This window comes from Homo sapiens, chromosome 19, assembly GCF_000001405.40.
Source record: "Homo sapiens chromosome 19, GRCh38.p14 Primary Assembly".
NCBI lineage: Eukaryota > Metazoa > Chordata > Mammalia > Primates > Hominidae > Homo > Homo sapiens.
In genome coordinates, this window is record NC_000019.10 from 3,942,830 (window position 1) to 3,957,531 (window position 14,702).

At 55.2% G+C, this 14,702-nt stretch overlaps 1 annotated feature.

Moving 5' to 3' along the window:
- Nucleotides 8,534–9,303: an enhancer, noted in NCBI's record as "H3K27ac-H3K4me1 hESC enhancer chr19:3951361-3952130 (GRCh37/hg19 assembly coordinates)". NCBI's record gives its function as "activates a minimal SCP1, AML or CMV promoter by ChIP-STARR-seq in primed H9 embryonic stem cells {active_cell/tissue: H9 hESC(primed)}" and the evidence as "EXISTENCE:reporter gene assay evidence [ECO:0000049][PMID:30033119]".

Here is a 14,702-nt window from a genome sequence, read left to right on the forward strand (position 1 = left end):
AAGAGGTTGAGGCTGCAGTGAGCTATGATCAGGCCACTGCACTCCAGCCTGGGTGACAATGCGATAACCTGTCTCAAAAAAATTTTTTTTCTCAATGCCTATAAATAAAGTTTTATTGGCACCCGGCCCCTGCCATTTGTACGTGTCAGCCCTGTGGCTGCTTTAGTACTACAATAGCATGTTGAGTCACCCTGACAGAGAAGGTCTGTCTGCAAAGCCAAAAATATTTACTATTTGCCCCTCTGTGCAAAATGTGTGCTGAACGGTGTGGTGTATGCCAGGTCGAGTCCAGGGCCACAGGGAGGGTCTGAGGTCTCCGTGCTGGAGGGGAAGCAGGAGTGGATATGGAATGGGAGGATGACGTGGAAGAGGTGGCTTGCCAAGGCTTCTCCTTCCCCATAAGCACAGAGTGTGGTAAGGATGATCTGCCGGTCACTGTGCCCAAAATAGTCCAGGACAGGACAGAGACATGAGGGAGGTGGTTCCAGGACAGCAGAAGCCCTGCCTGGCAGCCCAGATACCTTGGGCATTATTGTTCTTTTAAAAAAAAAAGAAAGGTTCATGCCTGTAATCCCAGCACTTTGGGAGGTTGAGGGGGGAGGATCACTTAAGCCCCGGAGTTCCAGTCCAGCCTGGGCAAGATAGTGAGACCCCCATCTCTACAAAAAATGATAAAATATTAGCAAGGCGTGGTAGCCCATGCCTGTAATCCCAGCACTTTGGGAGGCCAAGGAGGTGAATTGCTTGAGCCCAGGAGTTTGAAACCAGCCTGGGCAACAGAGTGAGACCCCGTTTCTGTTTTTATTTTTCTGTATTTATTTTTACTTAGTTATTTATTTTTGAGATGGAGTCTCGGTCTGTCGCCCAGGCTGGAGTGCAGTGGCGTGATCTCGGCTCACGGCAATCTCCACCTCCCAGGTTCAAGCAATTCTCCTGCCTCAGCCTCCCAAGTAGCTGGGATCACAGGCATGCACCACCACGCCCAGCTAATTTTTGTATGTTTAGTAAAGACGGGGTTTCGCCATGTTGGCCAGGCTGGTCTCGAACTCCTGACTTCAGGTGATCCACCCGCCTAGGCCCCCCAAAATGCTGGGATTACAGACGTGAAACACCATGCCCGGCTGTGAGACCCCGTTTCTACAAAAAATTAGCCAGGCATGATGACACATGTCTGTAGTCTCAGCTACTCGGGAGGCTGAGGTGGGAGGATCCCTTGAGCCCAGAAAGTTGAGGCTGCAATGAGTTATGATTGCATGACTACACTCCAGGCTGGGCGACAGAGCAAGACCCTATCTCAAAAAAAAAAAAAAAAAAAAACAAAACAAGAAGGGGAACAGTAGCCACAGGGTAACCAACCAAAAAACGGAAGATGATAAGGGTTGGCCAGGATGTGGAGAGAGCAAAACCCTTATGCTCTGAGGTGGGAAATGGAACACAGTGAGCCTGACGAGAAACAGTCTGGCCGTTTCTCAGAATTAAACATGGAATTACCATAGGGCCTAGCAATCCTGCTCCTGGGCAAGGCCCCAAGGAATTCACAGCAGGGACTCAAAGAGATCCTTGCACAGCCATGTTCATGGGGGCACAGCCCACAACAGCCAAAAGGTAGAGGCAACCCAAGTGTCCACAGACAGATGAATGAATGAACACAATGTACTCCATCCGTACATGAATATTACTGAGCCATGAAAAGGAAGGGAATCTGGACACAGGGCACAACAGGATGATCCTTGAAGATGTCACGCTCCGTGAAATAAGCCAAGGCCGGGCATGGTGGCTCACCCTTGTAATCCCAACACTTTGGGAAGCGGAGAGGGGTGGATCACCTGTGGTCAGGAGTTCAAGACCAGCCTGGTCAACATGGCAAAACCCCGTCTCTACTAAAAATACAAAAATTAGCTGGGCATGGCGGTGGCGTGCCTGTAGTCCCAGCTACTTGAGAGGCTGAGGCAGGAGAATCACTTGAACCCAGGAAGTAAAGGTTGCAGTGAGCCAAGATTGCGCCATTGCACTCCAGCCTGGGCAACAGAACAAGACTCCATCTCAAAAAAAAAAAAAAAAAAAGGGAAGGAAGGGAGGGAGGGAGGGAGGGAGGAAGCTGGGCGTAGTCGCTCACACCTGTGAATCCCAGCACTTTGGGAGGCTGAGACTGGAGGAGCCAAGGAGTTTGAGATCAGCCTGGACAATATAGCAAGACCCTGTCTCTACTTTTAAAAAAAATACTGGGGGGCTAGAGCAGTGGCTCACGCCTATAATCCCAGCACTTTGAGAAGCCAAGGCAGGAGGATCGCTTGAGCCCAGGAGTCTGAGACCAGACTAGGCAACATAGTGAGACCCTGTTTCTTTTTTTAATTTAAAATGTTATTCTTGGCCGGGCACAGTGGCTCATGCCTGTAATCTCAGCACTTTGGGAGACCAAGGCACCCAGATCACTTGAGGTTAGGAGTTCGAGACCAACCTGGCCAACATGGTGAAACCCCGTCTCTGCTAAAAATACAAAAATTAGCTGGGTGTGGTGGTGCACACCTGTAATCCCAGCTATTTGGGAGGCTGAGACAGGAGAATCACTTGAACCCAGGAGGCGGAGATTGCAGTGAGCCAAGATTGCACCACTGCTCTCCAGCTGGGGTGACAGAGGGAGATTCCATCTCAAAAAAATAAATTTAAATTTAAAAAGTAAAATAAAATATTTTTAATTAAAACAACTTTTTTGGCCAGGCGCGGTGGCTCACTCCTGTAATCCCAGGACTTTGGGTGGCTGAGGCAGGCAGATCATGAGGTCAGGAGTTTGAGACCAGCCTGGCCAACATGGTGAAACCCCATCTCTACTAAAAATACAAAAATTAGCCGGGCATGGTGGCACACGCCTGTAATCCTAGCTACTTCGGAGGCTGAAGCAGGAGACTAGCTTGAGCCAGGGAGGCAGAGGTTGCAGTGAGCTGAGATCACGCCACTGCACTCCATCCTGGGCGACAGAGCAAGACTCTGTCTTGGGGAAAAAAATAATAATGATTAAGATGGCAAATTTTGCTTTGTGTGTTTTGCTAAAAGTTAAAAAAATAGGAACAGGAGCACTAGGGTAGCTAGCTCATCCCAGTTGGCCCAGAACGTTCCTGGTGTTACCACTCAAAGTCCTGTGTTCCCAGGAGAAACAGGAGGATGAGTCACCCTTATGGGAGCCAATCAGCTTGAGAAGTCAGATTACTCCATGACCCATTCTTATAGGGCTCAGAGAGGGAAAGAAACTTGCCCAAGGTCACCCAGCAGAGCTGATATTTGAACTCAGCTCTGTTGAATGCCAACCCCCTGACCTTCTCCAGCCCCATGTGGCCTTCCATCTTCACACTCGCCTGCTGGGAAGACCCCCTCTCCCCTCCCAGAGCCATCTAAGGGGCCCAGAGAATCCCACCCCAACATTGCCCGAGTACAGCTGGATTCTGGGTGCAGTGATGGTGTCGGTTAACCTCTGCCTGTCTCGCGGCTCCTGCCCTCCACAAACAGAACCAGTGACTCATTCTCCCCAAATGCAAAGCAGATGCACCTGTAATTTGTCCCCCTAGGAGTACCCGTCCATCAGCGACAGGGACAGGGCACCCCGAGACCAGGCAGCCCCGGGTGCAGGTGGGCAGCTCCAGGACCCAGCCTGCTCGGCCCAAACCCAGGCAGCCTCTGCCACTTCCTGGCCCACTGTCCCCAGGCAGGTAAAACGCCGTCTCTGTGCCTCAGTTCCCTCCCTCGTGTGCTCAGCGTAGCACCAGGCGCTTGGAGTTATCACAGCTGCTGGGTTGATGGCTGGTGTCGCTATGCACCACAGTGACAAACCGAGGCAGGCCCCGACCCACAGGCCAGCCCGATGGGCACAGTGAGCGGGATCCACCTGCCAGGTGTCTAGCAGGGCTTGGAATTCTCCCCAGCACCCCGAGAGAGATGCGTGCAACTGACTCCTTTTTGCAGATGGGGAAACTGAGGCTCGGGAAGTGGATTTGCTTACCCAAGACCACACATGAAAGGTGGAATCAGGGCCAGGTGAGGTGGCTCACGCCTGTAATCCCAGCACTCTGTGGGGCCAAGGTGGGTGGATCACCTGAGGCCAGGAGATCGAGACCAGCCTGGCCAACATGGTGAAACCCCGTCTCTACTAAAAACACAAAAATTAGCCAGGTATGGTGGTGCATGCCTGTAATCCCAGCTACTCGGGAGGCTGAGGCAGGAGAATCGCTTGAACCTGGGAGGCGGAGGTTGCAGTGAGCCGAGATCTCTCCATTGCACTCCAGCCTGGGCACCATGACCGAAACTCCATCTCAAAAAAAAAAAAAAAAAGAAGAAAAAGGAAAAAAGGGGGAATAAGGATACGAGTCCAGGTGGCCGAGCCTGGGAACCTGAGCCAGGTCCACTGTCCCATGCCTGGGCCCAGTGTCAGGGTACCATCACCTCGGGAATCCTCGTTCCCCCAGAGGAGACCCCTCCTGCTCCTGTGTGGGACCCCCCTCCATCACCTCCAACTTCCTGGAATCCCCTCAGGGTCCCGCCAGTCCCCCAGGGCTTTCTGGTCCCCTCAGCGGAGGCCCTAGTCCCCAGCAACCACCCCCTTGGCTGGATGCTTCTGAAGTCCCTCATTCTCCTCCTGCACTCACAATGGGGGCCACAGACACCCCCACACACAAGCTTGTGTTCTTTCTCTCTCTTTTCTTCCCTCCTTCCTTCCTCTCTTTTCTCTCTTTCTCTCTCTCTTTCTCTCTTTCTCTCTTTCTTTCTTTCTTTCTTGACAGAGTCTTGCTCTGTTGCCCAGGCTGGAGTACAGTTGCGCAATCCCGGCTCCCTGCCTGCAACCGCCGCCTCCTGGGTTCAAGTGATTCTCCTGCCTCAGCCTCCCGAGTAGCTGGGATCACAGGCGTGCACCACCACGCCCGGCTAATTTTTGTATTTTTTAGTAGAGATGGGGGTTTCACCATGTTGGCCAGGCTGGTCTCAAACACTTGACCTCAGGTGATCCTCCCGCCTCGGCCTCCCACAGTGCTGGGATTACAGGCGTGAGCCACTGCGCCCGGCCTGTGTTTACTTTACAAGTCCCACTTATTTTATTGATTTTTAACTAAATTCCTCTGAAGAGGAACCTTTCTGACACAACATGAGGAAACCTGGATTTTCTGATACATGTTAAACCACAGAGCGGCTCGGGTGGCTCATGCATGGAATCCCAGCACTTTGGGAGGTCGAAGCCGGAGGATCACTTGAGCCCAGAAGTTCAAGACCAGCCTGGGCAACATAGCAAGACCCTGTCTCTACAAAAAATATTAAAAATTAGCTGGGCTTTGGGGTGCATGCCTATGGTCCCAGCTACTGGGGAAGCTGAGGTGTGAGGACTTTTTTTTTTTTTTTTTTTTTTTTGAGACGGAGTCTCGCTCTGTCGCCCAGGCTGGAGTGCAGCGGCACAATCTCGGGTCACTGCAAGCTCCGCCTCCCGGGTTCACGCTATTCTCCTGCCTCAGCCTCCCGAGTAGCTGGGACTACAGGCGGCCGCCACAACGCCCGGCTAATTTTTTGTATTTTTAGTATAGACGGGGTTTCACCCTGTTAGCCAGGATGGTCTCGATCTCCTGACCTCGTGATCTGCCCGCCTTGGCCTCCCAAAGTGCTGGGATTACAGGCGTGCACCACCGTGCCCAGCTGGTGTGAGGATTTCTTGAGCCCAGGACGTGGAAGCTGCAGTGAGCTATGATCACACCACTGCACTCCCACCTGGACAACAGAGCAAGACCCTGTCTCAAAAACAATGCAAAAAGCCACAGAATTCATATCATCTAAAATCATCCTTGCCTTCACCTTCCTGAAATGCTCCCGGCCAAGAGCAATCTCAGGCCAATAGTTCTCACCTGGGGGTGATTCTGCTCCCGCCAACCAGGGAACACTGGACAATGTCTGGAGACATTTGTGGTCCTGACGCCTTGGGAAGGGGTGAGCGGAGGCCAGGGATGCTGCTCGACCCCTGCAGTGCCCAGGACAGCCCCACCCCAGAGAACAGTCCAACCCCAAATATACACAGTGTCCCAGGGAAGAAACTTCTTCTAAGGGCAGAGAATGGGCTCCAATCCTACCCTGGGCTGGGCATGGTGGCTCACACCTGTCATCCCAGCACTTTGGGAGGCTGAGGCGGGCAGATCACTTGCGGTCAGGAGTTCGAGACCAGTCTGGCCAACATGGTGAAACCCCATCTCTACTAAAAATACAAAAATTAGCCGGGCATGATGGTGCACACCTGTAATCCCAGCCACTCAGGAGGCTGAGGCAGGAGAATTGCTTGAACCTGGGAGGCAGAGGTTGCGGTGAGCCGAGATCACACCACTGCACTCCAGCCTGGGCGACAGAGCCAGACCCTGTCTCAAAAACAAACAAACAAAAAATCCTGCCCCGCTCCCTTGAGGTACCTATCGTGGGCCCAGGAAGGGACTGAGAGTCCAGGGCAGGCACCAACCATCACACAGAGGCCCCCATGTTGTCGCGTGGCTGACACTTCTCTGGGCCAAGTCATTCCCGGAGCTTGAGGAACTTGGCTGAGGGTAGCCTGGCTCTACTGAAAGTCCCCTGCCTGGGGGCCTCCCTCCTTGACCCTTGCAGGACCCCAGGTGACAGGCAGCCCATGGAGTCTGTGGAGGGCAGAGGACCTCGTTGGAAGCTGGCCTTCCGAGCTCCCGTGCGAGGGCGGGATTCTCGTGCCCACAGTGGGGTCCTTGGTTTGCAGCTTCTGAAGCCTTTCCCTGTGAGGGGTTGGGGAGGGGTGTCTCAGGGTTCCCGGGGCCTGGGACAGACAGGCAGGACCCCGCTGTGCCCCTGGCTCAGTGGCTTCTCCAGCTGGGAAGGCAATCTTTGGGGGGTTTTTTTGAGGCAGGGTCTCACTCTGTCACCCAGGCTGGAGTGCAGAGGCACCCTCATCGCTCACTGCAGCCTCAACCTCTTGAGCTCAAGCAATCCTCCTGCTTCAGCCTCCCAAGTAGCTGGGACTACAGGGCGTGCCACCGTGCCCAGCTAATTTTTTTATTTTATGTAGAGATGGGATCTGTTTCCCAGGCCAGTCTCGAACTCCTGGGCTCAAGGAAGCCTCCCAACTCAGCCTTCCAAAGTGCTGCGATTATAGGCGTGAACCACCTGGGTCATCAGGAAGCCAGTCTGCAGCCCCCTCCCTGCCTGGGAGGCACTGGAGGGTGTGTGCGCAGACAGATGGACAGTCCCTTCCATGGAGAACCTGAACTCCCTGCCCTGCCCTGCCCGCTCCCCTGGGACCACCCAGCCCTGGGACTCTGCCCTCAGGCCCTTCCCCAGAAGTCCTGCTGGCCATGGGAAGAGAGAGGCTGAGACCCACCCGGATGGAAGCAGAGAGGCCCTGGGAGGTGGGGGGGATGAGGTTTTAGTGCCGGCCTCCCCCCAACTCTATTTCAGGCACCCCCACCCCACCCCCAACCATCTGCCACTCACATCAAGTAGTAGTCAGCCGGCCCCTTAATCAGCAGTTACTCCGCTGGCGCCGCCCCCCGCCCCCCACCCCAGGGCCCTACCAGGGCCAAAGCTGTCACCTCCAAGGCCACCGAGCTTGGGTGCCCCAGACTCCCTGCTGCCAGGGCCTTAAGGGGGTGTCCTTGGGGCCAGCTGTGGGCCCAGCTAGGGCCTGGGGGAGAAGCAGGCTGAAGAGGCCAGACAGGATCCACCCTGCACATTCTGGGGGAGCTGCGGGCTCCCGAGAAATGGCCTTGTCTCCTCTCTGCCCCCGTTAAGCTTCTGCAGCATTCAACGAGGTCGAGAAACCACTGAGCTTCCGGGAGGACGAGGGCCCAGCCCCCTCCAAGGTAGGGGAGGGGGTGACAAGGTGGGGGTCCAGCGGCTCTCCAAGCAGGGAACCCGTGAGGTGCAGTCAATCCAAACAGGGCTCATTGAGGACATGGCCTGTAAGTTCTCCCCTAAAGGGACCTTCAAACTATGAAACCCCAGAGAGGGGCGGGAGACCCCAGGACAGCCAGGGGTTGGGGTGGGGAGGGGGCCGGAGGGAGGGAGCCCCCACCTCCGTCCTCGCCATTCGCCTCCCCCCACTGAGGGAGCCACAGCTGTGGCCACATCATCGCAAGACACACATGCATTGTTGGGGTCACCCGGCCTGCGGCGGGATCCCCGGCTCTGTCCCCTTAGATAAGGAGAAGCAGTGAGCAGGCCCAGCCCCCAAACAGCTCAGCCGCTGCCTCCTCCTCCTCTTCCTCCTCCTCCCCACAGCCATCTTCCCTGCTCCTTAGGCAGGGCTGGGCCTGGGCTGTCCTGGAGGCCACCGAACCGCCTGGGACAAGTAGGTACCACCCCGGATCTGTGCTTCGGACGTCCTTTGAGGGGGGATCTCATTTCACCACTGTTCTGTGTCTGACTTCCGGCCGCCGAGCGGGGGCCCGTGTTCTGCACGAGGCTGACCAGGGGGACGGGGGGAGAGATGGTTTTGGTACTTACTTTTCTTTTTGTCTCACAACAGGGGGGTTAAGGTTCTCGGGGGCTGAAGGAGCCGCTTGGGGCTGGCAGGCCTGGCTTTATAGCGGCTGTCACCCTGGACCTGGGCAAAGGCACCGTGGTTATTAATAGTGACCGCAGTTTCATGCCCGTGTATGGTCAAGGCCACGGCAGCTGCGGGCTCTGCTGGACTCAGGCCTCCTCCCAACACCTGCTCCAGGCCCTGACCTGGAGGCGCCAGGCAGCGCTCGCCCCACCCAACGCGACTTGGCAATGACTAAGTCTGAGACCCTAGAATCAAACAAGACTCATAGTTGGGGGCCCTCCAGAGGGTGCCAGGCCCCGCTGCAGCCCTTCCTTCCGCCCTCACCACCATCTTGGGAGGCAGATGGAATCGCTGTCCCCTGGGGAGGGGGAAATGGCAGAGAGGCAGCACCGTTTACCAGGAGCAGAGCCAGGATGTGCTTCAACCCAGGACACATTTTGCAGACAGTGTGTAACTAAATCCAAGCTGCGGCGCAAAGCCTCAAATGCGTGTTCTGTGTCCTGTGCTGCCTTTGCTCAGCCTGGGGAAACCGGGAGGGCCCCGATGGCCTCCTCTGCTCCTGCAGGTGCGTCCCCTAGGCAAAGAGCCCTCCATCCTCAGAGGGGGCTGGGCAGGGTCCTGCTTCTCCTTGAGTCACTTCTGTTCCCTGCTAGCCCTGGAACTCTTCTGCTTTCCTCTTCTCCCCTTCTCCTCTTCTTTTCTTTTTGAGAGAGTCTCACTCTGTTGCCCAGGCTGGAGTGCAGCAGCACAACCGTGGCTCACTGCAACCTCCGCCTCCCGGGTTCAGAATGATTCTCCTACCTCAGCCTCCTGAGTAGCTGGGACTTCAGGTGCCCACCACCACGCCTGGCTAATTTTTTGTATTTTTAGTAGAGACGGGATTTCACCCTGTTAGCCAGGTCGGTCTCAATCTCCTGACCTTGTGATCCACCCGCCTCGGCCTCCCAATGTTCTTGGATTGCAGGCGTGAGCCACCGCACCCGGCCTCTTTTTTTTTAGACGGAGTCTCGCTCTGTCGCCCAGGCTAGAGTGCAGTGGTGCAACCTCGGCTCACTACAACCTCCGCCTCCTGGGTTCAAGTGATTCTCCTGCCTCAGCCTCTGGAGTAGCTGGGATTATAGGCGCCCGCCACCACACCTGGCTAATTTTTTGTATTTTTATTAGAGACAAGAATTTCACCATGTGGTTCAGGCTGGTCTCGAACTTCTGACCTCAGGTGATCCACCCGCCTCGGCCTCCCAAAGTGCCGGTTCTGTTCTTTTTTTTTTTTTTTTTTTTGAGACAGAGTTTTGCTCTTGTTGCCCAGGCTATAGCGCAGTGGTGCGATCGCAGCTTACCACAACCTCCACTTCCCGGGTTCAAGCAATTCTCCTGCCTCAGCCTCCCGAATAGCTGGGGTTACAGGCATGCACCACCACGCCCAGCTAAATTTTTTATTTTTACTAGAGACAAGGTTTCTCCATGTTGGTCAGGCTGGTCTCAAACTCCCGACCTCAGGTGATCTGCCCACCTCGGCCTCCCAAAGTGTTGGGATTATAGGCGTGAGGCACTGTGGCCGGCCTGCTTTTTTCTTTTCTTTTCTTCCACCCCTCCCTTGCCCTCTCCTCCCCTCTCTTCCCCTTGCCTTCTCTCTTCTTTTTCTCTTCTCTTCTCTTTTTTTCTTTTTTCTTTTCTTTTCTTTTCTGACAGGGTCTCACTCTGTCACCCAGGCTGCAGTGCAGTGATATAATCACAGCTCACTGCAGCCTTGACCGCCTGGGCTCAAGTGATCCTCCCGCCTCAGCTTCCTGAGTAGCTGGGATTGCAGGCATGAGCCACCACACCCAGCTAATGTTCTAATTTTTTGTAGACACAGGGTCTCCCCAGGTTGCCCAGTCTGGCCTGCAACTCTCGGGCCCAAGCAATCCTCCCGCCTCAGCCTCCCACAGTGCTGAGATGACAGGCGTGAGCCACCGCACCCGGCCTGAAATTTTCTCAACAGGCCGATCATCTCTTCTCTGGGGAAGCGGAGGCCCCCTCACCCTCTCATTACTGCAAAGCCTGCCTCCCACGGTCCCTGGCTGTGTGCTGTGTTCCTGAGCGCAGCCCAGAGTTGGGGGGGACCCTGCGTGGTGTGGGGTGTTCCCTCCCCCGCGACGTCTATCTTATCTGTCCAGCACCTGAGGTCCTGTGTTCAACCAGCCCCATGACCTTTCTCTGATGCCCCAGGGTTGAGTCACAGCCAAGCTATGGCCTGAACCCAGCTTGCCTTGTCCTGGAGGTCACGCCTGGCCCAGCAGCTGCAGGGGGGCGGGGGGGGGGACCCGCACGCGACAACCCTGCCCAAGAGCAGCAGCACGGACGCCCAGGACGCAGGCAGCTGCAGTCATCGCTGGATGCACAGGGATGGGCACCAGGCAAGAAACACACCAAGCCCTCACTGGCTCTCCCTGGCGCTGAGCCCTGTCCCAGGGATGTCTTTGAAAACTTGCTCCCACTGGCTGGACGCAGTGGCTCACGCCTGTAATCCCAGCACTTTAGGAGGCTGAGGCGGGCAGATCACCTGAGGTCAGGAGTTCGAGACCAGCCTGGCCAACATGGTGAAACCCCGTCTCTACTAAAAATACAAAAATTAGCCGGGCGTCATGGCGGGCGCCTGTAATCCCAGCGCTACTCAGGAGGCTGAGGCAGGAGACTAGTTCTGTCTCAAAAAAAAAAAAAGAAAACTCGCTCCCACCAGACAGACCCTGAGCCCCCCCCACTCCTCTCTGCCTCACTCCATCCCAGCCACTCCTTGGCTACTGGCATGACCAAGAGGTTGTCTGCCCATACATGGAGCCTCCCGGCAGGGCCTCCAGCTGCCGCCCCTCCTGAAAGCCGAATTCGACAGGCCAGATTCTGCAGGGGCGGTGAGACCACGGCTCGCCCCAGGGCGGGCCATGGGTGTTTTCTTGACCTAGAAATCAGACCAGTGACCGTCCCAGCCTGTGGGAGCTGAGGGCTGGAAACTGCCAGGGACCTGCCAGTGCCAGGTATAGTCACAGGGCAGGTCATGATATGCCCGTGTGAGCCAGACACCACGCTACTCAAGAGGCTCTCAGAGCTCCAGAGGTCAGGAGGCCAGAAGGAAGGTGCCAGCAGAGCCAGGCTCCCTCCTACCCCTCCAGATTCCGGTGGTGGCCAGTGGTCCTTGGCTCCTTGGCCGCACCGCTCCAATCTCTGCCTCCATCTTTTTTTTTTTTTTTTTTTTTGAGACAGAGGCTCGCTTTGTCACCCAGGCTGGAGTGCAGTGGCACGATCTCAACTCACTGCAACCTCCAACCTCCCGGGTTCAAGTGATTCTCCTGCCTCAGCCTCCCAAGTAGCCTGCCATCACACCCGGCTAATTTTTGTATTTTTAGTAGGGACGAGGTTTCGCCATATTGGCCAGGCTGGTCTCGAACTCCTGACCTTGTGATCCACCCAGCTTGGCCTCCCAAAATGCTGGGATTACAGGTGTGAGCCACCATGCCCGGCCTCTACCTCCATCTTCACATGGCCTTTCTCGGTGGGTAGGGGGGACAGGGATTCACTTTGTTGTCCAGGCTGGAGGGCAGTGGCACGATCATAGCTCACAGCAGCCTCAACCTCCCAGGCTCAAGCGATCCTCCCACCTCAGCTTCCCAAATAACTGGGACTACAGACGTGTGCCACCACGCCCAGCTAATTTTTGTATTTTTTGTAGAAACGGGGGTCTCACTATTACCCAGGCTGGTCTTGAACTCCCGGGCTCAAGCGATCTTTCTGTCTCAGTCTCCCAAAGTGCTGGGATTACAGCTGTGAGTCAACATACCGCGCCCAGCCCCCACGTAGTCTTTTCTTTCTTTTTTGAGACAGAGTCTCACTGTCGCCCAGGCTGGAGTGCAGTGGCATGATCTCGGATCACTGCAACCTCCCCCTCCCAGGTTCAAGCAATTCTCCTGCCTCGGCCTCCCGAGTAGCTGGGATTACAAGCACCTGCCACCACGCCCAGCTAATTTTTGTATTTTTAGTAGTGACGGGGTTTCACTATATTGGCGAGGCTGGTCTCGAACTCCTGACCTCAGGTGATCCGCCTACTTCGGCCTCCCAAAGTGCTGCGATTATAGCCGTGAGCCACCGTACATACCCAGCCCCCATGCAGTCATAAGGACTAGGGCCCACCCTACTTCAGCATGATGTCATTCTAACTACCTCCACATCCGCATCCTAACAAATTACATCTACCCTATTTCCAAATAAGGGCCTATTTAGGAATTCAGTATTTTTGTGGAGGACACCAATTGAGCTCTCACCGGACACCCTGAGTGGGGGACAGGGTGCCCCATCTGACCCTCTGCCAGTGGAACTCAGCCTCACACTGCTGTGGAGTGGGAATCCCGTAGAATTGTGAGCCCCTGAAGCTGCTGCACGCCACTGCCACCCAACGTGGATTCTGGGGTGTCCTTGACAAGACTGAGCACTCCACGGGTACCAGCCCCATCTCAGGTGCCCAGAGGAAGGCCAGAGACGGGGCTGGGGACTCGGGGCTCGGGGTCACCCCACTGAGGAAGGCTGGGCCAGAGTGTGGTTGCATGCTCCCAGCAATGGGAGCCCCCGGGGGTCCTGGTCTCCTGGTGTAGCTGGTCCGCCCCTCCCCAGCAGGGTTCATGTTCTGCTGGTTCCAGGAAAAGGGCTGGGAGTATGAGTTTGGGCCCTGCTGTGCTTCCGTGGACCTCAATTTCCTTGACTGACCAGAGGGGCTGACCTGAGAGGCCTCCTGGTCTTCTGGGGGCTGAGGGGGTGATGGTCCTGGCCTCCGGTGGGGTCCCAGAGGCCTCCGAGAGGCCAAGGCTTGATGCTTTGTGTACTAGGGGATGAGAAGCCCTAGGGGGTCTGGTAGGGAGTGCTGAAGGCTGTGACGATTAACCAGATTGGATGTACTAGATGTATTATTATTATTATTAATTATTGTTATTTGTAGAGATAAGGTCTCACCATGTTTGCCAGGCTGGTCTCGAACTCCTGGGCTCAAGTGATCCTCTGCCTCCACCTCCCAAAGCACTGGGATTACAGGCATGAGCCACCATGCCCAGCTTGAAATATGTTTTTATTATGGTTAAAGTACACATAGCAGGCCAGGTGCGGTGGCTCACGCCTGTAATCCCAACACTTTCGGTGGCCGAGACGGGTGGATCACCTGAGGTCAGGAGTTCGAGACCAGCCTGGCCAACGTGGCGAAACCCCGTCTCTACTAAAAATACAAAAAATTAGCTGGGTGTGGTGGCAGGTGCCTGTAATTCCAGCTACTCGGGAGGCTGAGGGAGGAGAATCGCTTGAACCTGGGAGGCAGAGGTTGTAGTGAGTTTAGATCGCGCCACTACACTCCAGCCTGGGTGACAGAGGCAGACTCCATCTCAAAAAATAAATAAATAAAATACACATAACATACAATGCACCACTTTCACCCTTTTTCCTTTTTTTTTTTTTTTTTTTGAGACGGAGTCTCGCTCTGTCGCCCAGGCTGGAGTACAGTGGTGCGATCTCGGCTCACTGCAAGTTCCACCTCCCAGGTTCACGCCATTCTCCTGCCTCAGCCTCCCGAGTAGCTGGGACTACAGGTGCCACCACACCCAGCTAATTTTTTTTTTCGTATTTTTAGTAGGGATGGGGTTTCACCGTGTTAGCCAGGATGGTCTCGATCTCCTGACCTCGTGATCCGCCCACCTCAGCCTCCCAAAGTGCTGAGATTACAGGCGTGAGCCACCGTGCCCGGTGTACCGTGCATTTATGAGACAAGGTGTTGCTCTGTCACCAAGGCTGGAGTGCAGTGGCGGGATCACAGCTCACTGCAGCCTCCACCTCCAGAGCTCAAGTGATCCTCCCGTCTCAGCCTCCTGAGTAGCTGGGACCACAGGCAACCCCACTACACCTGGCTCACATACAATTTTTGTGTGGATGTACCTTTTCCTGCCTCTGTGAATGTATAAAACCACTGAATTGCACACTTTAAAAGAAAGATTTTAGGGTGTGTGAATCATAGCTCAATGAAAGAAAAAAAAAAGTTAAAAAAAAAAATGGCCAGATGCGGTGACTCACGCCTGTAATCCCAGCACTTTGGGAGCACAAGAAGGGCAGATCAATTGAGGTCAGAAGTTCGAGACCAGCCTAGCCAACATGGTGAAACCCCATCTCTGTTAAA